General features: G+C 49.7%; 1 protein-coding gene and 1 long non-coding RNA gene across 5 annotated transcripts in view, besides 5 other annotated features; one reads left to right on the top strand and one right to left on the bottom strand.

Annotated features, from left to right (window-relative positions):
• ARID3B (AT-rich interaction domain 3B) overlaps positions 1-22,658 on the bottom strand; it is a 56,912-nt gene that overhangs the window by 2,521 nt on the left and 31,733 nt on the right. For 2 of the 4 annotated variants that reach the window (XR_007064418.1, NM_001307939.2), the window contains 5 exons: positions 22,407-22,479; positions 5,608-5,791; positions 4,177-4,460; positions 3,797-4,051; positions 2,375-2,476 (listed from right to left, as the gene is read on the bottom strand). Coding sequence is in view for 2 of the 4 variants with exons in the window: in NM_001307939.2 (NP_001294868.1) it covers positions 2,375-2,476; positions 3,797-4,051; positions 4,177-4,460; positions 5,608-5,791; positions 22,407-22,479 (898 nt within the window). In the remaining 2 variants the exon portion in view is untranslated. The remainder of the gene's footprint in view (positions 1-2,374; positions 2,477-3,796; positions 4,052-4,176; positions 4,461-5,607; positions 5,792-22,406; positions 22,480-22,658) is intronic. The other 2 variants (XR_007064419.1, NM_006465.4) reach the window with 1 other exon arrangement.
• Positions 595-1,095: an enhancer, noted in NCBI's record as "H3K4me1 hESC enhancer chr15:74886857-74887357 (GRCh37/hg19 assembly coordinates)". NCBI's record gives its function as "activates a minimal SCP1, AML or CMV promoter by ChIP-STARR-seq in primed H9 embryonic stem cells {active_cell/tissue: H9 hESC(primed)}" and the evidence as "EXISTENCE:reporter gene assay evidence [ECO:0000049][PMID:30033119]".
• On the top strand, positions 4,505-10,013 carry LOC124903527 (uncharacterized). The gene is made up of 2 exons (XR_007064718.1): positions 4,505-5,155; positions 5,550-10,013. It is a non-coding gene; the product is annotated as an uncharacterized LOC124903527 (long non-coding RNA).
• Positions 5,984-6,769: an enhancer, noted in NCBI's record as "NANOG-H3K27ac-H3K4me1 hESC enhancer chr15:74881183-74881968 (GRCh37/hg19 assembly coordinates)". NCBI's record gives its function as "activates a minimal SCP1, AML or CMV promoter by ChIP-STARR-seq in naive H9 embryonic stem cells {active_cell/tissue: H9 hESC(naive)}" and the evidence as "EXISTENCE:reporter gene assay evidence [ECO:0000049][PMID:30033119]".
• Positions 6,770-7,555: an enhancer, noted in NCBI's record as "NANOG-H3K27ac-H3K4me1 hESC enhancer chr15:74880397-74881182 (GRCh37/hg19 assembly coordinates)". NCBI's record gives its function as "activates a minimal SCP1, AML or CMV promoter by ChIP-STARR-seq in naive H9 embryonic stem cells {active_cell/tissue: H9 hESC(naive)}" and the evidence as "EXISTENCE:reporter gene assay evidence [ECO:0000049][PMID:30033119]".
• Positions 6,789-7,083: a silencer, noted in NCBI's record as "tiled region #307; HepG2 Repressive non-DNase unmatched - State 10:DNaseD, and K562 Repressive non-DNase unmatched - State 7:EnhWF". NCBI's record gives its function as "represses a minimal TATA promoter and a strong SV40 promoter by Sharpr-MPRA in HepG2 and K562 cells {active_cell/tissue: HepG2 | K562}" and the evidence as "EXISTENCE:reporter gene assay evidence [ECO:0000049][PMID:27701403]".
• Positions 15,158-17,105: an enhancer, noted in NCBI's record as "VISTA enhancer hs1510". NCBI's record gives its function as "enhancer in: tail[3/3]" and the evidence as "EXISTENCE:transgenic organism evidence [ECO:0001131][PMID:17130149]".

Genomic DNA, 22,658 nt, shown 5'->3' with positions numbered 1-22,658 from the left:
CTTGGTGGGTGGAAGAGAAGCAAGTGTGGGCAGAGGAAGAGCGAAGGGGAGGGCCAGCTCCTTTCAGTAAGTATTCACCGCTGGCCTAGCCTGTGCCTGACTCCGCTGTAGACACTGTGCTAGGGGGTGATGGGAGAAGATCCAAATGCTGTCCTGCCTTGAAGTGCTGATGGGCTGGGGAGGGGGACAGATAGGTCGACAGAGTAATTTTGCTAAAATGTCATAAATGCTCTGAGACAAGGTGTACCCAGGGTACACAAAGAGGAACACCAAGGCCAGGTGTGGTGGCTCACAACTATAATCCCAGCACTTTGGGAGGGTGAGGCAGGAGAATAGCTCAAGGCCAGGAGTTTGAGACCAGACTGGGCAATACAGCAAGAGCCTTGTCTCTATAAAAATTTTTTTTAAAATTAGCTGGGCATGGGTAGTCCCAGCTACTCAGGGGGCTGAGGCAGGAGGATCACTTGAGCCCAGGAGGTTGAAGCTGCAGTGAGCTATGACCGCACCAATGCACTCCAGCCTGGGTGACAGAGCCAGGTGGGGTGGGTGACTGGCTCCCTTCTTGTCAGGGGTTTGAGGAGCCTTCAACTTCTGACCCTTCCTCATTCTGAGAGGGAAGGAGTTACCTTCTCCTTTCTCCTTGACAGAGGACAAAAGGATATCAAGATCCAGGCCTTGAATTCCTACTTCCCTGCTTTCTCCATGGACCTAATTCCAACCCCCAACCCTCCCAAACCACAGCACAATGAAGAGGCAAAGGGCACCAGGCCCCACCTCCTCCAGGGGCCTCCTGTGACAGGTAGAGACCTCTGAGCAGAGTCTGCAGACATAGCATGACTGGTGAGCCCACTTGGCACCACTGCTCCTCTACACTCTGTCCTCTCTCTGAAGTGAGTGGCCCAGCAGAGATCCAGAGCATGCTCCCAGGAGGCCTGCAGGGCGGTGCTCTGAGGGAGTGTGGCCCTTAGAATGGGAGTAGGCCCTGAGGAAACACTCCCAGTTGTGATAGAAGGTGCAGTTGTAGGGCTTTCGCCTGTCTCCACGAGACACCTTGCCAGGCTGGCTGACACTCCGCATGCCCTTGGGCCCTTGGTAAAACAGGTGGGTGATGCCCTGGGCCAGGCCTGGTGGCCCCCACTCATAATACTGTGCTTTTTTTTTTTGAGACGGAGTCTCACTCTGTCGCCCAGGCTGGAGTGCAGTGGCGCGATCTCAGCTCACTGCAAGCTCTGCCTCCCAGGTTCACGCCATTCTCCTGCCTCAGCCTCCCGAGTAGCTGGGACTACAGGCACCCGCCCCCACGCCTGGCTAACTTTTTGTATTTTTAGTAGAGACGGGGTTTCACTGTGTTAGCCAGGATGGTCTCGATATCCTGACTTCGTGATCCACCCGCCTTGGCCTCCCAAAATGCTGGGATTACAGGCGTGAGCCACCGCGCCCAGCAATGCTGTGCTTAACAAGAGTCAGGTGGGCTTGTTCCCAAGCTCGTCCGTAAACCAATGAAATGGGAATGGGAAAAGGACTGCTGTTTTTATGAATATTAAGTTTTGTTTTTTTTTTTTTTAATTGAGACAAGGTCTTGCTTTGTCACTCAGGCTGGAATGCAGTGGTACAATCACGGCTTACTGCAGCCTCGACCTCCTGGGCTCAAGTGATCCTCCTGGCCTCAGCCTCCCAAGTAGCTGGGACCACAGGTGTGCACCACCATGCCTGGCTATTTTTTTTTGTATTTTGTAGATTTGGGATTTTGCTATGTTGCTCAGGCTGGTCTCAAACTCCTGGGCTCAAGTGGTCCTCTTGCCTCAGCCTCCCAAAGTGCAAGGATTACAGGCATCAGCCACCGTGCCCAGTCATGAATACTAAGTTAAACCCTTAGAAAGACTCTGTAAAGGTGCGAAATCAACCAACCAACAAAACACTGTTGCCAAATTAGGTTTAGGAAAAGATAACTGTAAAAGACTGGGGGGCAGGGAGCTTAACAATGTAAGCTGATTCTCCTATACTGGGGTTCCTTTGCCTGTGTCTCAGTCTGCAAAAGGAAGAGAAGAGCTGAATTACAGTCAGAGAAAGGCTGTGCATGAGAAGACCTGGGGATTGTGGGACACTGACTGACTTCTTCAATTAACGAGCCAACCACTGGTCTAAAAGGGTTAGGTGAAGGGTTTCTGCCAAAGTGGGAGGGACCTATCATCCTGTTAACAATCCACAGTCTACTAGTCCAGAGGACCACTTGACCTTTGCAACTCTGAGACCAGGAAAAAGGAAGCCACTGTGGGAGGTGTTCAGACAGAGGGTAAGAGGCAGGGCCAGCCGCAGAGCTGCCCTGTGGCTAGCTGCGGCCACGTGGGCCTCCCCCAGAGCTCCAGGGCCTCACCTGCATAGGTGGTGCCATCGATGTCCACAGACATGTTAATGCTCCCAATGCTACTCGTGGTCAGGTTCAGTGCTGCAGCCGAGGCCTCTGCTCTGTCTTCTGCTGGGGACAGGGAGACAGTGGGCCTGGTCAAGCCTTCCACAGCACTCCTGTTGTCCTCTCTGATGCTGCCTGGCCACCCCTGGTCAAAGCCTCACGCTGTTAAAAGGCATCTATGTAACCTTCTCCTGAGTGTAGGGTATGGCAGGAGATCCCAGGCTCGCCAATCTCCTGTTGCTGGCTTTTTCCACTGACCCAGTTCATCCCCTCAACTACCTCTGCTCCCAGAGAAAAGGAATCACAGTAGGCAAGGAGGCCGGCTCCGGCCCCACCACTCTGCACTGGCACTTTCCAAGTGACGGGCAAACCCTGAACTACACTATACACCAGGCCCAGGAAATCAGAGATCAATGAGACCCAGCCCCAACTTTGAGGACCCACCTGCCCTTTCTTTCCTTTGACTCTGAGTCCCTCAGAGAGAGGAGTCTACGCCCTCAGCCCCTCCCCTCCATGACCACCCAGGCAGCTGGCGTTTGTGGAAGCCTGCAAGTGCTGGCACACACGGCCTTTGGCTGGCTCACCCCAGACTCAGAATTCTTCCCGGTGAGCTGTCTTTTCTAACAGCCCTTTGCTTTGTGCAGGAGCAGGGTACCTGGCCCTGGATGAGCTGTTACCTCCCAGTTTCCTTCTGGTCCCCAAGGGCAATGGGGTAGGAGGGGCAGCCTGGGAATATGTATAGCTCCCTTCACACCTGGCTCCTTCCCACACATCTCATTCATGTTTGCTTTGAGATAGCATCAGGACCAGAATGGGAAAGAATGTGTGTGAATGGGAAAAGGGGCGTGTGGCTTGAGGAAGAGAATGTGGGGCACCAGAACAATGTGAAGAGGAAGGGAAAGGATGTCAATTATGCTGCCAAACTTGTGTTTCCTCCTTCTGTCTATATTCCTGAGTCCCACTGTCCAGCCCGGGGCAACTTGGCCCCTCGCTGAGCCTCAGGAACATGGGGTGTCTTCCTCCCAGACCTGCAGACGGTGCCCTGCTCTTGCCTACATCCAGTGAGGTGCTGGGGTAATGGCTGGTGGGGAAACGCAGCAGCTCTCTGAAGGCCTCTGGCTCCTCCTCTGTGAATAACTGCTTTTCCCTCTTACTAGAGAACAGGGCACTGCCTGAGGCAACATGTGGTCCCCTCTACCAAACAACCTCAGCTTGGTGAACTAAGATCTCAGTGCCTCTCTTCTAGGGGCCTGGAAGGCAGAACCTGGAGGGGCCTCTTCCAGGTCAGGAGTATGTGCCTCACCACCCCTGCCCCACCAGTCCCAGGAGGCGTGAATGGGCTTGGGGTTTCCAGGAAGGGAAGGCCCGGCCCTGAGCCTGGCTCACCCCTGCCGTTGATCCTGATCTTCATGGGGAGCTGCCGTGCCATGCTGAAAAAGTTGCGCTGGAAGGCCTGCTGCACCAGGCGCTGCTCCTCCTCAGACAGCCTCGATGCCTTCTTCTCAGCAGGCTCCCCTGACTCCAGCCGCTCCCGCAGCTGCTCCAGTGCGGCGGTCCGAGTACCAGCCTGCTGGCTTGCCAAGGTCACGGGCACAGCCAGACGATTTGGCACAGGCACTGTTGTCACTGGGGCTCCATCACCTGCAAAGGAACTGGAGCTGGACCAATCCACAATTGACCCTCTTGCCCCAAAACCCCAGTCTTGAACACAGGGAACTGGCATCCCTTCCTCCCTTTCTTCCTTCTCCCCCAGGAGCCCTGCTGACCTTTCCTGAGAGTGGTTGCTGGGGATATCCGAGGGCTACTGGTATTGGTACCACTGCTGGAGCCAAGCCCAAGGATGGGAAAGCGGATCTTGGGTGGGGAGAGAAGGGCAGGGGCCCCGGCAGCGGCAGCAGCAGTAGCCGCAGCAGGTGAGTAGCCAAAGAGGGAGGAGCTGTAGCTGGGCCGCCGGCCCTCCCTGCGGTTGCCATCAATTGCTGCCTGGAGCTCGGCTGGGGAACTCAAGGCTTTCTTCTCACACTCATAGGCATACAGATACTTCATGTACCTGGAGGAAAGGAAGCAAGCAGGGAGAATAATCCAAAACAGCACCAGAGACCACCCAGTTGAGGTTGGTGGGTCTCTGGAAGCAGTCTCTGTTGGGCAGGACTCTAGGGCAAAGGATTGCAACCTTGGTATACTTGGCAGAAAAGTCTGGGATGGCCGGACACTCTGCCCCAGCCTCCTCTGACTGCCACTCAATCCTAAATAGGCTCTACTTTGAAGCACCATTCATTAGGGGAAATAAATAACATCTTAGTTGGCGTTTTCACATTTGTTTTGAAGCCCTGGGAAAAATTAGGCCCATGTTTTACAAGGGCTTTCTGACTTCTTGATCTTATAACCATTCAGAGCTGGGCTAGTCAGATAGGAGCAATTCTTCCCATTGTGCATGGGACCTAGACACTGTCATTCTTTGTGTCTTAGGTCCCAAGAAGCAGTTCTCTACCCAAGAACCTTGCCATTCTGGTTGTAGCTACAACATGCTACCTAACTGATGTCAGTTGTTCATTGCATACTCTTCACAGAACAACTTCCAGAGTGTTCCAGAAGAAAAGATTCCTCTCTGGCCCTCATTCTTCAGTGCTACTATTGGTTTCACCGCTTCCATCACCCATGTAATTAACTCAAATGCTGACAAAACCAGGTCACCAATCCAAGGGGGCCTTCCTGCCTGCCTTTCTCTGGGTCCTCTGCCGCTGGGTAAGCTGAATATCAGGTAAGAGGGGCCACTTGGGGTGGAGATGCTGTTTGGAAGACAATGTCCTGGAAGGGGCACAGGTCTTAGAGACAGAAGCCCAGGTCTGAATCTCAGCTCTACCACTTACTGGCTGGTATATGACCTTAGCCAAATTATTTAACCATGGAGACTTCATTTTTGTAATGTGGGAAATGGGGGCATACCTACTTTACAGGGTTGACTGTGAGGTTTAAATGAAATAGTAAAGTACCAGCACAGAGTAGACACTTGGTAAATGGTGGTTCTCATCACTACTTGGTTTAGTGAGGGATTCATCTCAGAAAGCTCCCCACTGTTTCGGGAATCCACTCATCTTGCTAACCATACAAAGGAATTTCCTTCCTTCCTCTCCTCTAGGTTACAACATCCCCTTTCTCCAGCCTCAGCTTCCTTCTCCCAGGCCCTGGCCACTCACTGCGTCCTGAGGGTGAAGGCGGCGCTGGTGATGGATGTGGGCAGGTTTAGGCCTTTGGTGATCTCCCTCCAGATCTTCTTGTTGATGATCTCCACCAGGCCTCCCTTCTCGGTCACCAGCTTATACAGCATGTACAGGTCCAGGATCTGTTTGGCCATGATGGGGATTCGGTTGATGGGGGTCCCTGTGGTTGTCCAACGAGAGAAAGAGACAGCGGGATCATCATCAGGCTGAGAAGAAAGATTCCGTGTATGCCCACCTTTAGCCGAGCTGGAAACAATGCTCATCAACCTGGAAGTGTAATTTAACTCAAACTCCCCAAGCCTGAACACTCAGACTAGCTGTCAGGACAGGTCCAACGCACAGGCTGTGTGGGCCTTTGGCAAAGCACTTAGCCTCTCTGGTTCTGTTTTGCCGTCTGTAAATAAGAGGGCCAGACTAGATGATTTCAAAGGTGCTTGTTTTTTAGTTCGTGTGTGTGTGTTTTTGTTTTTGTTTTGCTGGCAGTATGATTCCAGACTATTCCTAGTGATCTGGCGACTTATCTCTGCAGCTTTCAGACTCCATTCAGCGGCAGCTTCCTCTGGGATGCCTTTCTCTGACTTCCTAGAAGGGGAGCCCTGCCTAGTCACCCTCCTGGCAGCGCTCAGTGCTGCTTATAAGAGTGTGCTCGCTGGCTGGGTGCGGTGGCTCACGCCTGTAATCCTAGCACTTTGGGAGGCCGAAGCGGGCAGATCACGAGGTCAGGAGATCGAGACCATCCTGGCTAACATGGCGAAACCCCGTCTCTACTAAAAATACAAAAAAAATTAGCCTGGCATGGTGGCAGGCGCCTGTAGTCCCAGCTACTCGGAAGGCTGAGACAGGAGAATGGCATGAACCCGGGAGGCGGAGCTTGCAGTGAGCCGAGATCACACCACTGCACTCCAGCCTGGGCGACAGTGAGACTGTCTTAAAAAAAAAAAAAAAAAAAAAAAAAAAAGAGTGTGCTTGTTTGCACATGCCTGCTTTCTCCTCTCCTGCTTGATGGAGAAATGGTTTATTTCTCTCTCGTGTGCCCCGCCATGTCAAAGGAGCTGCTGGACACACAGGTCTCCAGAGGAATGAAAAGCCACTCAATTCTCTCCCCACACCAATCACTCCACCCACTCCCTGGCCTCTGAAAGGGGGAGGGTCAGAGCAGCTTCCACCCAATGGCCCCGAGGGGAAGTGAGAGGAGCCAGGGACTTGATTAGGAAACCTGGCACCGAGGAGGAAGGGCTACTAATGAGCACCAGGGGATATGGTGAGGGCGGGGCAAGTCCTTTCACAGCCGGCTGGGATGCTCATCAGGAGGCGTGATGGATGACTGTCATTTGGCAGCCTCGGGATTAATGATCTGGAGGTCAGAGGGGAGAATTCCACAGGGAAGGGTCACCGTCCAGGGCAGGGTATGAGACTTGTTGCCTTTTGATGGCAAACTCCTTTTACTGTACACAGACTACTGCTCCTCTGCCTTGCCCCCTCCCATTGCCCCAGTCTCGCTGAGGTCTCACTGGGCTGCCTGGTGGACCTTAAACCAACCTGAGCAGGGAAGAGCTGTTTGTTTCTGCTCCATCCGCCTTCTTTCCCTAAAGGCACAGCAGTTTTCTCAGCTCTGAATGGCAGCCTCACCAACTCTTTTACAGGATGGTTCAAGCCAGAGAATGAAAAGGAAGCACTGTGGGCATGGATATGTGGGGCTGCTGCGGCAGGACCAGGCCTCTTCTTCTTCTTTTTTTTTTTTTTTAAAAGATAGGGTCTCACTCTGTTGCCCAGACTGGAGTGCAGCGGTGCAATCATGACTTATTGCAGACTTAACCTCCAGCCATCCTCCCACTCAGCCTCTTAAGTAGCTGGGAATACAGGCACACACCACCACACTCAGGGAATTTAAAAACATTTTCTGTAGAGACAGGATCTTCCTATGTTGCCCAGGCTGGTCTCAAACTCCTAAGCTCAAGCAATCCTCCTGCCTCAGCCTCCCAAAGCACATGGACTGCAGCGTGAGCCACAGCACCTGGCTTAGGCCTCTTTCCTAAGTGTGGGGAGGGGGTTAGTGACCTTGAAGACCTTTATCTTGACCTGCTGGTCCTTGGAGGGTCAAGGACAAAGGGGTCATGGAATTAGATCCACAAATTCATAGGTAAAATAACAGAGGATTACGGGCATACTCCTAAGACACACAGCTCATGTGCTGGTTGACTTCTCCCAGTGCTGTTCTGGACAGTAAACCTTCCCCCTACCAGAAAGACAAAAGCCCCCAGCAGGACAGGGCTAACGTCGACCTCCTTTTGGAGGCCTATCTGCCCAAACACACCCATGGCCTTGAGTCCACACCTTCCAAGGCATTACCTGGAGTGTCTGAGAGGACCACTCCCCAGGTCCCCTCACACAGGGCTCCTAAGCTCACATTTCCGGAAGCTCCTAGGGCATCTTCACACGTGTGACCCGTTTACTTCCAAGTCAGAATGTTTGTGCTGGGCTCATCTTCATTCCCCTAAACTAGCTCCCTTTCCCCACACCTCATTTTTTCCCAGCAACACTACCACCCTTGGAAGTTAGGCAGGAAGGCAGGAACCTCGTGTCAGCACTGGCTCCTCTCCTCTCCCTATCACCCACTTTCAGGGTGTTAGAAGGCTTCATGATTCGTCCTTGGAGGTACCTCTCAAAGGCATCTTCCTTTTTGGCCTGCAGCCACCATCCTGGTCCAGGCCCTCTCTGGCCCACAGTTAGATGCCTGCAGCAGCCTCTTAGCCATACGATCAACTTGAACACTGCAGCCAATCTTATTAAAATACTACTTTTACCATATTACTCACCTCCTTGTTTAAAAACCTATGAAAACTCTTATTGCTTACCTAGCCCATCTCACATGTCCAATCGCATGACCCATGTTCCTCAACACTCCCTTAGAAGATCACATGTGAAGTATTCCTGGCATATCCAAGCAACTCTCTTGTACTCCAACTCACTGGGCCTTCTCCCTATTGCCCCCAAAACACGCTCTTTTGTGCCTCCCCTCAAATCCTTCACAGTGTTCTTCCATATCCACTCCTTCCAGGAAGCATGTTCTCACTACCCCAGTTCATGTGGGTTTCTTCCCTCTCAGAATTTCTATCATGCCCCTATAAGTTTAGCAAATTGTCCTTCTCTAATTGTTTCACATCTGTCCATCCGATATCCCAGGAGGACTGTCAGCTCTATGAAGGCAGGGGTTGTCTTTCCTTTACCATGCCTACCATGCCTTATAGTGTTAATAAATTAACCTACCCAGAAATGTTTCTCGAGGTCTCACTATGTTGCCCAGGCTGGTCTCAAACTCCTGGACTCAAGCAATCCTCCCACTTCAGCCTCCCAAAGTGTTGGGATGACAGGCGTGAGCCACGCACCCGGCTGAGATTTTCTAGTGTGGTTCAAACTGCCTCTGAAGGCAACTCCCCAGAGAGGAATTACAAATTCATTTTGAGTAGTCATTGGACTAATTGCCTGGCTGTTTGAGATGGCATCTTTGAAGGACAACATTGTTATAGATGTAGAAATTTCATTAAAAATTAGCCTCTTTATAGTCACACACAACGTGACTGTATTATATTAGACTGAGAACTGCTTAGGGCCAGGGGAACAATGGCAGATACAGAACCTGAGGAGACAAGGAAGGGTCACAGTGGTGTCTGAAGTCAAGGTTGTAACCTAACTAATAAGTGATCTCTTCCCAGAGGGGAAAGTGTACTCTTCTGGGAACTGTCATCACACTACAGAGAAACCGCAGGTAAGAGGTGCACTGGAAACCGTGGTGGTGGCCCCTGCACCCTGCTGTGTGGCCCAGCTCCACCCAGGGCATACTTGGGAAGCTGTTTTCCTCACTCCACAGTGAACTCTCCTCACACGAGCCCCCATGCCCTGATCAGGCACCCTGGTTCTGGAGATCAAGCTGATAAGGAGATTGGGCGCATTATTCCCTGTGGCTGGCCCTCTGTGAAACTGTCAGTGGCTCCCAGTGCAGGCTGGCCCTTGGTGCCATCAGAAACAGAGCGGAGGCTATGCCGAGGGCTCTCTAGATGACAGTGGCGCTTTCTCCCATCAGATAATCCAGACACAAAAGCCTGCCGCGTCTTTGATTCTTCTAACAACTGAGAGAAGCAGAATCTGCAGGTTGGTCTCAGCAGTTTGCTTTGTGCTTAATGGACCTGGTAGCCATTTCTCTTGTCCAAAGTAGATTCTACTATGAAGAAAGAGAGAAGGCCTTTAAGCTAAGTTTACCTGCTGAACAAGAACCAATAGGCAATCGACAGACTCAGGCCTCAGTTTCCGCAAATGTGAAGTGAGGAATTTGGACTAGATGATTTTCAGTTCTAAAGTCTATGAATAAAAAATTAAAACAAAAATTCTGCTGATGTACCTTCAAACCAGCAAGATATAAATCGATAAACAAAAATTGACAGTTGTGATTATTACCAAAGGGAGAATCACATGGTTTTAGGAACTTGCCTGAATTAGAGAGTAATATTGTCAAGTGGCCTTGATACAGATAGTTTGAGATTTTCTCTGTGAAGGGCCCCTGGCTTAAGGCCAGATTTGTGAAGTTCACGTCCACAAGCAATGGCTCCTTTCCCAGTCTTTGCGGGAGGGAGCAAGGGGTCTCTGGCCTGCTCTCTGGGCTGTATTCTATCTTCCTCTAAGGAAGCTCTTCACCTGAGAGAGAGAGGCCTCTGTCCACAAGAAATGCAAAAGCAACCCACAGAGCACCAGGAAGGAGGCAAACACCCACTGAAGAGAGATCTTTGTGGGTCACTGGTGTTGGCCCTACAGGAGACCAAATCTCCACCCCCATCATGCCTCCCAGAAGGGGGTGAGCACCTGATGGGGAAGCCTGTGGACTGTCAGTCACTGCTATCAAAGCAGGAGCTGGGATTGAGGGTAATTAATCATGCTCTCTCTGACAGGAATCCAGGGCCTTATCTGCACCCCAAGAAGTGCCACTGGTCTCCAGTTCCCTCCTCAATAAAGGAGACTGACAGTTGCAACAAAGAGGCCCCTTATCAGATTTCAGCCAGGGAGCCTGCAGCCTGAGGGACGGATGTAAAAGGCTTTTATGAGGGCCATGGACCCAGTGAAGCTGGCGGGACTCCTGGGGCTTTAACCCTTGTTGGTGGGAATGCCGCTGGGCGCTGGCACTAGCAGGCCACAGCTGTGATCAGGAGCTTCCAGTGCAGATGTGGCCAAACAAAAGCTGCTCCCTGGTACTTTGTTTTCCTTCCTGCCACTCAGACAACCAAGATGTAGCTGGGGATAGGGGTGAGGGCAGAAGAGATGGCCTCTTCTGGCTTTGGAGACAAAGATGAGAGATGGTAAGAGTGTTGAAGGGAAAGCCACTTCCTCCCCATTGCAGAGAATGGGCCGGTTCCAGGGAAGTCCAGAAGCAAACAGGGGCAGGGACCCCAGACAGACTCATATGGCTGCCTTCCTGCCCACTGGGCAGGGGTGAGGGCCCAGGACCCAGGGTGTGGCCCTGCCAGGGACCCTTGCTGCTTTTTCCAGGCTTTGAGAAAGATCATTAATCATTTCCATAGCCTGACTGTCAAGAGAGCTGACCAGAGAGCCTGGAAGAGTTAAGACCTGTGTTAAGCAGGGAATGTGCGCAGGCAGGCAGGCTTCCTGAACATTCCTCTGCATCTTCATTCTTGCCCTGCTCTAGAACTGCTCCCCAGAAGCCAGCAGAGAAATGACTGCTGATTTCCCCCCATGACTTGTTCATATAGAGAATATCACAACAGATACTGGCAACTACTACAGGGGACAAGGGCTGAAAAACTACCTATTGGGTACTATGCATACAACCTGGGCGACAGGATCAATCGTACCCCAAACCTCAGTGCCCTGCAGTATATCCATGTAAAAAACCTGCACATGTACCACCTGAACCTCTAACAAAAGTTTTAATAGGAAAGGGAAAGGAAAAAGAAACGGGAAAGGAAAAGGAAAAAGGTCTCCCACTGGGAAATCAGGCAGCAGTGTCTGGTAGTCTGCCGTGCAGCTTGTAGTTGCACTGTTCCACAAGACAGGCCAGAGGCAAGCATGTGCCAATATGCTAGTATAGACTGACAAGAATCCTTAAGCCTTCCACCTCCAACTGCCCACTGAGTGGGTCTAACTTACATATGGTATAGTGCATTAACCTTAACCATACAGCTCACTAGATGTGTACTTCCAAATACACCTCCACAACCATCCCTCAGATCAAAATAAAGAACTTTTTTTTTTTTTTTGAGACAGAGTCTCGCTCTGTTGCCCAGGTTGGAGTGCAGTAGTGTGATCTTGGCTCGCTGCAAACTCCACCTCCCAGGTTCAAGCGATTCTCCTGCCTCCGGCTCCCAAGTGGCTGGGATTACAGGCGCTTGCCACCATGCCTGGCTAATTTTTGCATTTTTAGTGGAGACAGGGTTTCACCATTTGGCCAGGCTGGTCTCAAACTCCTCACCACAGATGATCCGCCTGCCTCAGCCTCCCAAAGTGCTGGGATGACTGCCGTGAGCCACCATGTCTGGCCAAAACACAGAACATTTACAGCACCCCTAGAAAACTCTCTCATGCCTCTTTCCAATCAATATCCATCCCTCCACCCTACCCACTCTGGAAATAAAATGCTATTCTGACATATATTTTTTTGAACTTTATATAAATGGACTCACATAGTATATATTCTGTGTCTGGCTTCTTTTGCTCAATATCAGGTCTGAGAGTCATCCCAGCTGCGTAAAGCAGTAGTTCACAACTTTTTTTTTTTAGGTGGAGTCTCACTCTGTAGCCCAGGCTAGAGTGCAGTGACATGATCTCGCCTTACTGCAGCCTCTGCCTCCCAGGCTCAAGCACTTCTCTCACCTCAGCCTCCCAAGTAGCTGGGACTACAGGCAGGTGCCACCACATCCAGCTAATTTTTTTTTTTTTTTTTTTGGTAGAGATGGGGTTTCACCATGTTGCCCAGGCTGCTCTTGAACTTCTGAGCTCAAGTGATCCACCTGCCTCACCCTCCCAAAGTGCTGGGATTACAGGTGTGAGCCACCGTACCCGGCTAGTTCATAACTTTCTACGGCTGTGTAGTGTTCCGATATGTGACTATGCTACATTTATTTATCCATTCTACTACTGATGGACATTGGAATTCTTTCCAGTTTTTGGCTATAATGAATGGAGCTGCTATGAATATGCTTACCTGTATCTTTCAGTGAACACAAGCACTCATTTCTGTTGGGAATACACCCAGGAGTGCAACTGCTGGGTAACAAGGTCCAGGTATGTTTAGCTTTAGCGAACACTGCCAAACAGACTTCCAAAGTAGTTGTATCCCTTTACACTCCCAGCTGTAATGCATGGGAGAGCTGGTGGTTCTACAACCTTGGAGGCTAATTTTAAACTCATTACCTTTTTTGCTACTCCAGCTTGGACTAATCTCTTTAGGTGAAGTTCAACGGTAAATGTAATATTGTATTCTGCTATGCCTAACAATAAGATTATGGTGGCTGGGCGCGGTGGCTCACGCCTGTAATTCCAACATTTTGGGAGGCCAAGGTGGGCAGATCACCTGAGGTCGGGAGTTTGAGACCAGCCTGTCCAGCATGGTGACACCCCATCTATATTAAAAATATAAAAATTAGCCAGACGTGGTGGCAGGCGCCTATAATCCCAGCTACTCGGGAGGCTGAGGCAGGAGAATGGCGTGAACCCGGGCGGCGGAGGTTGCAGTGAGCCGAAATCGCGCCACTGCACTCCAGCCTGGGCGACAGAGTGAGACTCTGTCTCAAAAAAAAAAAAAAAGATTATGGCTATGACAACTGCATTCGGAGAAACTGGCCAATGAGTCAGAAGGAGGTGGACTGCAGGGTCTTCCCTGCTTTGCCTGCCACTGGGCAGATCTGCCTGGCATCTCCAGGAGAGGAGTGGAAGGCTGGCTGGGCTGGGGCACACCTCATGGGCCTTCTGGCCTGAGCAGTGCACGGCTGTCTGAGTTTCCAATGCTGTTGTGCCACTAGACTCTCAAAACCCAGCAGAACTTCCCCATGGTGTAAGCAGGCCAAACACTCACTGCAACTTTTCACCATACCAACTCTTAGATGATTTACTGAATATTGGTTCACTTTGGGACAAAAGAGGCAAAACTATCAAATAACTCAATTTTCCCATGTGTTAGAAATACCAATAAAAGATTTTGAAGGGGAAGAGGCTGAATTTAACGACAAAAGCAGGCTATTCAAATTAATTGTGACTTTCAAAAACCAGACTCCCTTCCTATGATCGTGGATAACTGGGTATTTATAGAGTATTATAATGACTATTAAAAATGGGGGAAAAACCAGTATATTTTTTTAACAGCAGCTGGGTCACCTAGAGAGAGAAAAGGATCTGGCCTGAGACAAAGGGCTAATCCAGACACTAAAAGATTTGCATTTTAGACTTTCATTTCGGGATAAAGTTAGAAAATGAAGCCCCAAAGCCTATATCGTCTGAAAAAGACAACATATTTTCGTCTGCCAGGAAGGGTGTCCAGGGCACAGACCATTTATGGTAAGATACAAAGAATATACAAGAAATTGCCTCCACCAAAAGGCAAAGCAATATATGTCATGAACATTTCCTTGCCTGAGATGGATAGATAAGCACACAACAGAAGGAAAAACACTCAAGTTGCACTTTGAAGCAGACCAAGCCCTTTTCCCACAGTAAATTCTTTGTATATACACATCAAAAAAGATCCAGCAATCCATTTGGGAAAACCAAGGTCAGTTTGCAGCCTTGAAGAGAACTGATGGGGGCGGGAGGGCAGGTCTACAAGTGAGGGCTTGACAAAACTTGTCTTCCATGTGACCAGGCAGTTCCTTAGCCTGGTGTGCCCAGATGGGGCAGGGGCAGGAAAAGAGAGCCTTGCTTGTGGGCATTCTGGGTGCCTCCTGTGTCTCCCAAGCCCTACCCCATCCTGCCTTGACAGATGGCAGCCTCTGTGCCACTCTGAGTTGTCACATCTGCCCTTCCCTATTTCTCTGAGAAACAGCCCTGACCCTGAGATGAAGACCCATCTTGCACATCAGGTTCTACCCTGTGTTCATCAGCTAGATGCTCAGAAGCGCTACTGAACGGTGGCCTGTGGAGGCAGGCCACCACCCTCTTGGAGGCGGTGAATGCTGCCGAAGACATGAGGTTTGCCTGCTTCTCCAAAGGGGAGTGATGGGGTTGCTAGCTCTAGGGAACAAGTTTCTCAAAGATAAGGCAGGAGAAGCAAAGCACACTGGCCTGGGAGTTAGGAGACCGCGTGCTAAGTCTGCTCTGTGGCCTTAGGTGAGTCACTTAACCTTGGGGCTGCTTCTTCAGGGTTACAGGTGATAACCTTTGCTCTCTCTACTCTACAGAGCTGGAGCTGAGGGGAGCAGCAGATCAGATAATGGGTTGCAAGGGTTCTGTAATGTGTATGGTATAATAAAAATGCAAGTAACAGTAAAATCACCATTATCGTCATCATCATCCTGACTCTTTAATGAAACCACACTTCTGTTTCACCTCCTAGGGAACAAAAAACAAGCTTTTCTTCCTCACTGATGAAGGAAAAATGAAATTGTTTATAATAGCCTTTGCTTATTAGACTTAGAAATTAGTCCCTCCCCTTGGGCACTGAAAGACTAAATGGAAAATCTATGAGGGAATGGTATTTCAGAAACCACCCACAGGGAGTTAAATTAGCCAGACAATTTTATTTACAACTGTTTTGGCTTTATGTTTGCCAAAGAAACACGTTTTTTGTTTTTTATTTGTTTTTTTGACAGTCTCATTCTGTTGCTCAGGCTGTGGTGCAATCCTGGCTCACTGCAACCTCTGCCTCCCAGGTTCAGGCGATTCTCCTGCCTCAGCCTCCCGAGTAGCTGGGATTGCCAGCATGTGCCACCATGCCTGGTTAATTCTTGTATTTTTAGTAGAGATGGGGTTTCACCATGGTGGCCAGGCTGGTCTCAAACCCCTGGCCTCAAGTGATCCACCTGCCTTGGCCTCCCAAAGTGCTGGGATTACAGGCATGAGCCAATGCGTCCAGCTGAAACGTGTGTATTTTTTGCGTGTGCGCGCGCGCGCACACACACACACACACACACACACACACACACACACACACACACGGCAACAGGTGAGCCCAAAGGGGCATCAGAGTTCTAAACCTAACCAGTCTTTTCTAGAGAAATATTCTGGCGGGAATAGGGTGGTGGGGGACAATCGAGGGCAACTTGCTTAGTTGAATTTGGCTTCAGTCAGCAAAAGAGGAAATATATTACACAGCAAGGACAGGAGAGAAGCATTTGGTCTCGGAGATTCCTGGTGATGTTTCATACAATTACTTTGATAGAAAACTGCTAAAGGGGCTTTTCTTCTTTTATTTTTTGTTCATCAAGGGTAGCTCGATAGACACAATCATGGACACACAATACAGACAATAGAAACTTCCAAGATGACACTAATTGAACCCTCTCATTCAATAGATAAGGAAACTGTGGCCACCAGAGTGGGGAGGATGTGCTCAAGATCAGGAGAACGAAGGGATGTTAGCCCTGGCTTTGCACTGCCAGTCCAGAGCTCTTTCCACCCCCACAGGGCACTGCGCCTCGTCCCACTCCAATCTTCTCAGGCTTCTTTATGCGCAGGTTGCTCTGCTGCTCAGGGAGGGGAGGGGGTCGCCAAGGTGCAAGTCACCCCGGTCTTGCCTAGAAACCAAGGTGCTGAGGGCTGAAAGGCCCATCTGTTGCAGTCAATTCACCCAAACATGTTAACAAGCAAGAGATACAGCACAAAGCAGCAGTTATGGCCCGTCCCTGTCTCCCACTGGACAGCCATTTTATCACCTGCAGCTGCGGTCATTCGGGGCGGCCTGCTGTGTGCTGCATCCCTCAGAGCTGTCTGCTTCCTCTGTGGGCACAGCCTGCTGTGTCAAAGCTGCTGGCCCCTCTCACAGCCCACCTGGGTGTCTCCGGGCCTTTCAAACTCAGGCTATTTTCTTTCGTTTCTTTCTTTCTTTCTTCCTTGCATTTCCCTTTCCCTTTCCTTCTTTCTTTTGTTTTTTGAGACAAGGTCTCACTCTGTTGCCCAGGTTGTAGTGCAATGGCATGAACTCAGCTCACTGTAGCCTTGACCTTCCAAGCTCAAGTGATCCTCCCACCTCAGCCTCCAAAGTAGCTGAGACCACAGGCGCATGCCACCACACTCAGCTAATTAAAAAAAAATGTTTTTTTTGTAGAGACAGGGTCTCACTATGTTGTCCAGGCTAACTCAGGCTATTTCCAGTGACTCCTGTGATATCTACTGCTTACCTTTCATATTAGCTATGGAGGCCAAGTCCCTGACCTGCTGCTGAGGTCTATGAGGCTTTTCCTTGGTCCCAACTAGCAAGATCTGCCTCCTGTGTCCCCCAGACACTCCACAAGTGACAAGTCACAAATGTCTAAGGGCCCTTGTTCTCACCATTCTGTTAAGAACAAAGACAGCCGGGCTCGGTGGCTCATGCCTGTAATCCTAACACTTTAGGAGGCCGACGCGGGCGGATTACCTGAGGTTGGGAGCTCAAAACCAGCCTGGCCAACATGGTGAAATCCTGTCTCTACTAAAAATACAAAAAATTAGCCAGGTGCAATGGTACATGCCTGTAATCCCAGCTACTTGGGAGGCTGAGGCAGGAGAATAGCTTGAACCCAGGAGGTGGAGGTTGCAGTGAGCCGAGATGGTGCCACTACACTCCAGCCTGGGCTACAGAGGGAGACTTTGCTTAAAACAAAAAAAACAAAAAAAAACAAAAAAAAGACAGGCCAGGTGCGGTGGCTCATGTCTGTAATTCCAGTACTTTGGGAGTCGGAGGCAGGCGGATCACTCGAGGCCAGGAGTTTGAGACCAGCCTGGCCAACATGGTGAAACTGTTTTTACTAAAAAATATAAAAATTAGCCAGGCATGGTGGTGCATGGCTGTAATCTCAGCTACTTGGGAGGCTGAGGCACGAGAATCACTTGAACCCGGGATGGGAAGGTTGCGGTAAGCTGAGATCGACCACTGAACTCCAGACTGGGACTCTGTCTCAAAAAAAGGAACAAAGACAGCAAGCCTCACATGATTAAAACTGTAATCTGAGGCCCAGCACGGTGTGGTGGTTCATGCCTGTAATCCCAGCACTTTGGGAGGCTCAGGCAGTTGGATCACTTGAGCCCAGGAATTTGCTACCAGCCTGGGCAACATAAGGGCCTCGTCTCCACACACACACACACAAAAAAACAGAAAAATTAGCTGAGTGTGGTGGTGCACACCTGTAGGCCCAGATTCTCAGGAGGCTGAGGTGGGAGGATCACCTGAGCCTGGGGAGGTCAAGGGTGCGATGAGCCATGATTGCGCCACTACACTCCAGCTTGGGCAATAGAGTGAGACCCTGTCTCAAAAATAAATAAAATAATTAATTAAAATAAAAGTGCAATCTGCTCCCACCCCTCTTTTAAAATTTTCTTCTTCTTTTTTATTTCTGAGATGGAGTTTCGCTCGTCACCCAGGCTGGAGTGCAATGGTGCGATCTTGGCTCACTGCAACCTCCGCCTCCCGGGTTCAAGTGATTCTCCTGACTCAGCCTCCTGGGTAGCTGGGATTACATCTTCTTTTTTTTTTTTTTAAATTACAGGGATGGGGTCTTGTTACGTTGCCCAGGCTGATCTCAAACTCATGGTCTCAAGTGATCCTCCCACCTAGGCCTCCCAAAGTGCTGGAATTATAGGCATGAGCCACCATGCCCCACTCCCAACCCTCCTGAACCACTCACTCTAGTTCGGACTACCAGATAAGAGTTTTCTAGAAAGGAGATCGCTGGGAATAACAACCTCTACACTATCTTCCTGCCTCAGTCTCTCCTCTCTAGCCCAACTATACACTGCCACGGCAAGTTTCCTGAAAGCCAATATTTTGCCTTCAATAACTCAGCTATATCTACAGACTGAAGCGCTTTTTGGGCAAACATGGCTCTTCAGAGTCTCATGCCAGCTGACCCATCCAGGATGGCCCCTGGCTCTGGGCCATCAACAAGGGTTCTTCCAGCTACACCAGGGCCACATGTGTCACAGCATTTTTTCCTCCACCTCCATGGTTGGGTCTGATACACTAGAGCCACAGCTCTTCTCAGAGCCTTTCTCTGCACTGCAGGCCAGGGTGAGGCCCCAGCACTCACTCCTTTGGCACTCAGTCACAGGAAACAATGCTACCTAACACGGCTTGCTCTCATGTACCTGACTGGAGGTAAGATGATTTTCATAAAAAGTTTTTTTTTTTTTGAGACAGGGTCTCACTTTTTGGCCAGGCTGGAGGGCAGTGGCGCAATGTTGGCCTCCATGACGGCCCCCAAGTCCCCGGCTCGAGCAATTTGCCCACCTCAGCCTCCCAAGTAGCTTGGGACTACAGGCATGCATCACTATGCCTGGCTAATTTTGTTTTCATTTTTTGTAGAGAGAAGGTCTCACTATGTTACTGAGACTCACCTGAGCCTCCCACCTCAGCCTCCCACAGTGGTGGGATTACAGGCGTGAGCCACCACACTCAGCTAAGAGTTTTTCTTGCAGAGGATATTTTACATCTTTATTCTCTTTCTCATCTTTCCATGCCAGAGGGTCTCAACGGGACAATTTTGCCCTCCAGGGGACATTTATGACATCTAGAGACATTTTTGGTTGTTGTGACTGAGGGGCTGATATTGGTATCTAGTGGATAGAGGCCATGGATACTGCTAAACGTCCTACAGTAACCAGGTGCGGTGGCTCATACCTGTAATCCCAGCACTCTGAAAAGCCGAGGTGGGAGGATCACTTGAGGTCAGGAGTTCAATACCAGCCTGGGCAACATAGTGAGACCTCATTTCTACAGAACAAAAAAGTTAGCCAGGCATGGTGGTGCCTACCTATAGTCCCAGCTACTCAGGAGGCTGAAACAGGAGAAAGGCTTCAGCTCAGCACTTTGAGGCTGTAGTGAGCTATGATCGCACCACTGCACTCCAGCTGAGGCAACAGAGTGAGACCCTGTCTCAAAATTAAAAACAAAATCCTACAGTGCACAGGACAGTCTCCACAACAAGGACTACCCATCCCAAAGTCAACAGTGCTGAGGCTGAGAAACCTTTTATTAAAGTAACAAGTGGCAGACAGAACCGTTTCCCTTCTGTTGGTAATGCCAGCAAACAGTGAAATACCTGACGTAAGTGCTGAAGACAGGACAAAGATTTACTCAGGACCTGAAGAATCATAAAGTGACATTATCAAAGGGAGTCACTCACTCCTGCTTTGGGTTCACTCAGAAATATACTAGATGGCAATCTGGCAGTCCCAGTTGCCACAGAACAGCAGGATATGCAGCAAAGACTGTTCTCTACTGCTGACTCTCAATTACGGGGCAGCTGGCTGAAGGACACAGATGCACCCAAACCTCAAGGCAGCTTGAATACCCTGCATGTTGCAATCTGAGCCAGGAAAACCAACAAGACTGCTCACACAGCAAACATGTCCTGAGCACCTTCCTGCCTGGCCCTGTGCTAGCACTGGGGACATGAAAGAATGACAAAGTGGCCCTCCTTGAGGAGCTCCTAGTCTAGTGGGGACATATAGTAGTAAACAATTACTGATCTTCACAATCGGCTTGGCTGATCTCACTTCCATTTTCCTTTAAAAATCCTTCAGGGAAGGGAGAAAAACAATAAAGTGGAAAATAAAGCAGTGGAGCTCCACTGCTGATTAAAATCTATATTGCTATGGCAGCCCCTTTGAGACAGGATCAGCTCCTGGGTTTGCACCAGCTGGGCTTGTGGAGCTTGTAAATAATTAAAAGGTAATTGGAAGGGGAGACCAAAGTATTAAGTGGATTTCTCTCTCAGGGCAAACGGGGAGGTTCATTGCTGCCAGTCACATTATCTTTCAGGATTATATTCTTTTTTTTTTTTTTTTTTTGAGATGGAGTCTCGCTCTGTCGCCAGGATGGAGGGCAGTGGTGAAATCTTGGCTCACTGCAACCTCCATCTCCCGAGTTCAAGCAATTCTCCTGCCTCAGCCTCCTGAGTAGCTGGAACTACAGGCACGCGCTACCATGCCCAGCTAATTTTTGTATTTTTAGTAGAGACGGGTTTCACCATGTTGGCCAGGATGGTCTCGACCTCTTGACATCCTGATCCACCCACCTTGGCCTCCCAAAGTGCTGGGATTACAGGCAGGAGCCACCGCGCCCAGCCTCAGGATTATATTGTTTTTTACTGACACATGCAGTTCCAGGTAACAGCTGGAGGAGCAAACTAATTAAGGCTGCTCAGATTGCTTTGATGGGCTTAGAGACTGGGGAAAACCAAGATTCAAAACTTTCGATTGCCTTTTTTACGCAAACCAACAGTAACAGGCAGGCTACACCAAGAAGGCAATAAGGCTGCCAAAGGTAAAGGAGTAGGGAGGAAGGAGGGAAATAGAGAGAGAGAGAAGTTAACTTAGAATATTTAGCTGCTGGGGGCTGCCATTACAGCTTGGCCCAGGATAAAGAGGAAGATTTCATTCTTAGGTCTCAATAAAGTTGTTGACACAGGCACCAAGGGATGCATGATCAGCTATAACAGGATGCTGGGAGCAGGCTACTGGGAGTAGCTCTCTCCTATGGTTTTGTCCTGAGGGTGACGAAGGTGGAGCCACACAGGTTGCTGAAGGCCTTCTCCTAGAGAGGCTGGGGTGCTGGCCATGTGTTCTGAGGGCTGACCTGGCTGGTGAACCCATTGCTATGACTGAATACAAAGCCAGGAAGTTGAGTCACTCAGCTCTAAACTCAGTCACACCATAGTCTACAGTGAAGATGGCTCTTGGGGATGTGCAGAGTGAGGAGAGAAGGAAAGAGAATTGGGAGGGTGCATTATAAAGCAGATGCCGGCTGGGCGCGGTGGCTCATGCCTGTAATCCCAGTACTTTGGGAGGTCAAGGCAGGTGGATCACTTGAGGTCTGGATTTTGAGACCAGCCTGGCCAACATGGTGAAACCCCAACTCTACTGAAAAAAGAAATACAAAAATTAGCCAGGTGTGGTGGTACGCGCCTGTAGTCCCAGCTACTTGGGAGGCTGAGGCATGAGAATTGCCTGAACACGGGAGGCAGAGGTTGCAGTGAGCTGAGATCACACCATGGCACTCCAGCCTGGGCAACAGAGCGAGACTCCATCTCAAAAAAAAAAAAAGGCAGATGCCTATGTACCTGACTATTAAACTGCAGGAATGTTCTAACCAAGCCAGCAAATACAAACATCGAAAGCCAATGGGTAAGAAGAAAGTGTTGGCCTTTTCTTTCCATGGATCATTTCAGACCCTTCCAAAATATCCTGAGGGGCCTCTTTTCTTTCACTTACCTTTCTCCATGAGACTAGATATGCCAACAAGAAGGCCCACATGCTAGATTAAGTGAAGTCCAGGGTAGCTTTAAGGCTTAAAAAAGGCATATTTGAATTTGAAGTGACTCCAGAGACCAGTCAATTGGAAGAAGAGACAAAATCAGGCAGGGCCAAAAGTGGACGATCATTCCATCTACTTTGTGCCAACACCTTCTCTGTCCTCTTCAATCTGGCTATCGGTTAATTGGCTAAATCCAGAACCAACTGGCAGTAAATGCCTCTTCTCCTCCTGGATGAGGATTAGTGGGCCAGGATGTCTAACAGTGACTAGCACACAGTAGGCACTCTATCAGTATTCCCTGAATTGGAATGATGAGTAGATGCACACTCACCCCTCTTCTGCATAAAGACGAAGAGGTCATCCAGGAACTCTTTCCTTTCAGGATCACCGTCCAGTTCATACAGCTGCAATCCCAATCCCCCAAGAAAAACACACAGTGAAAAATTCCATCTTGCTGAAGTCTTATACCAGATATACTATGACCATCTGAATCACTACAAATGCAACTCACTGGCTACCTTGGTCCTTATTTCTTGGGAATCAGCTGTAACAAGCCACTGCAGAACTGCCCCTATCTGTATCA

Source organism: Homo sapiens, chromosome 15, assembly GCF_000001405.40.
Source record: "Homo sapiens chromosome 15, GRCh38.p14 Primary Assembly".
NCBI classification, from domain to species: Eukaryota; Metazoa; Chordata; class Mammalia; order Primates; family Hominidae; genus Homo; species Homo sapiens.
This window is presented reverse-complemented; position numbering and strand designations above follow the sequence as displayed.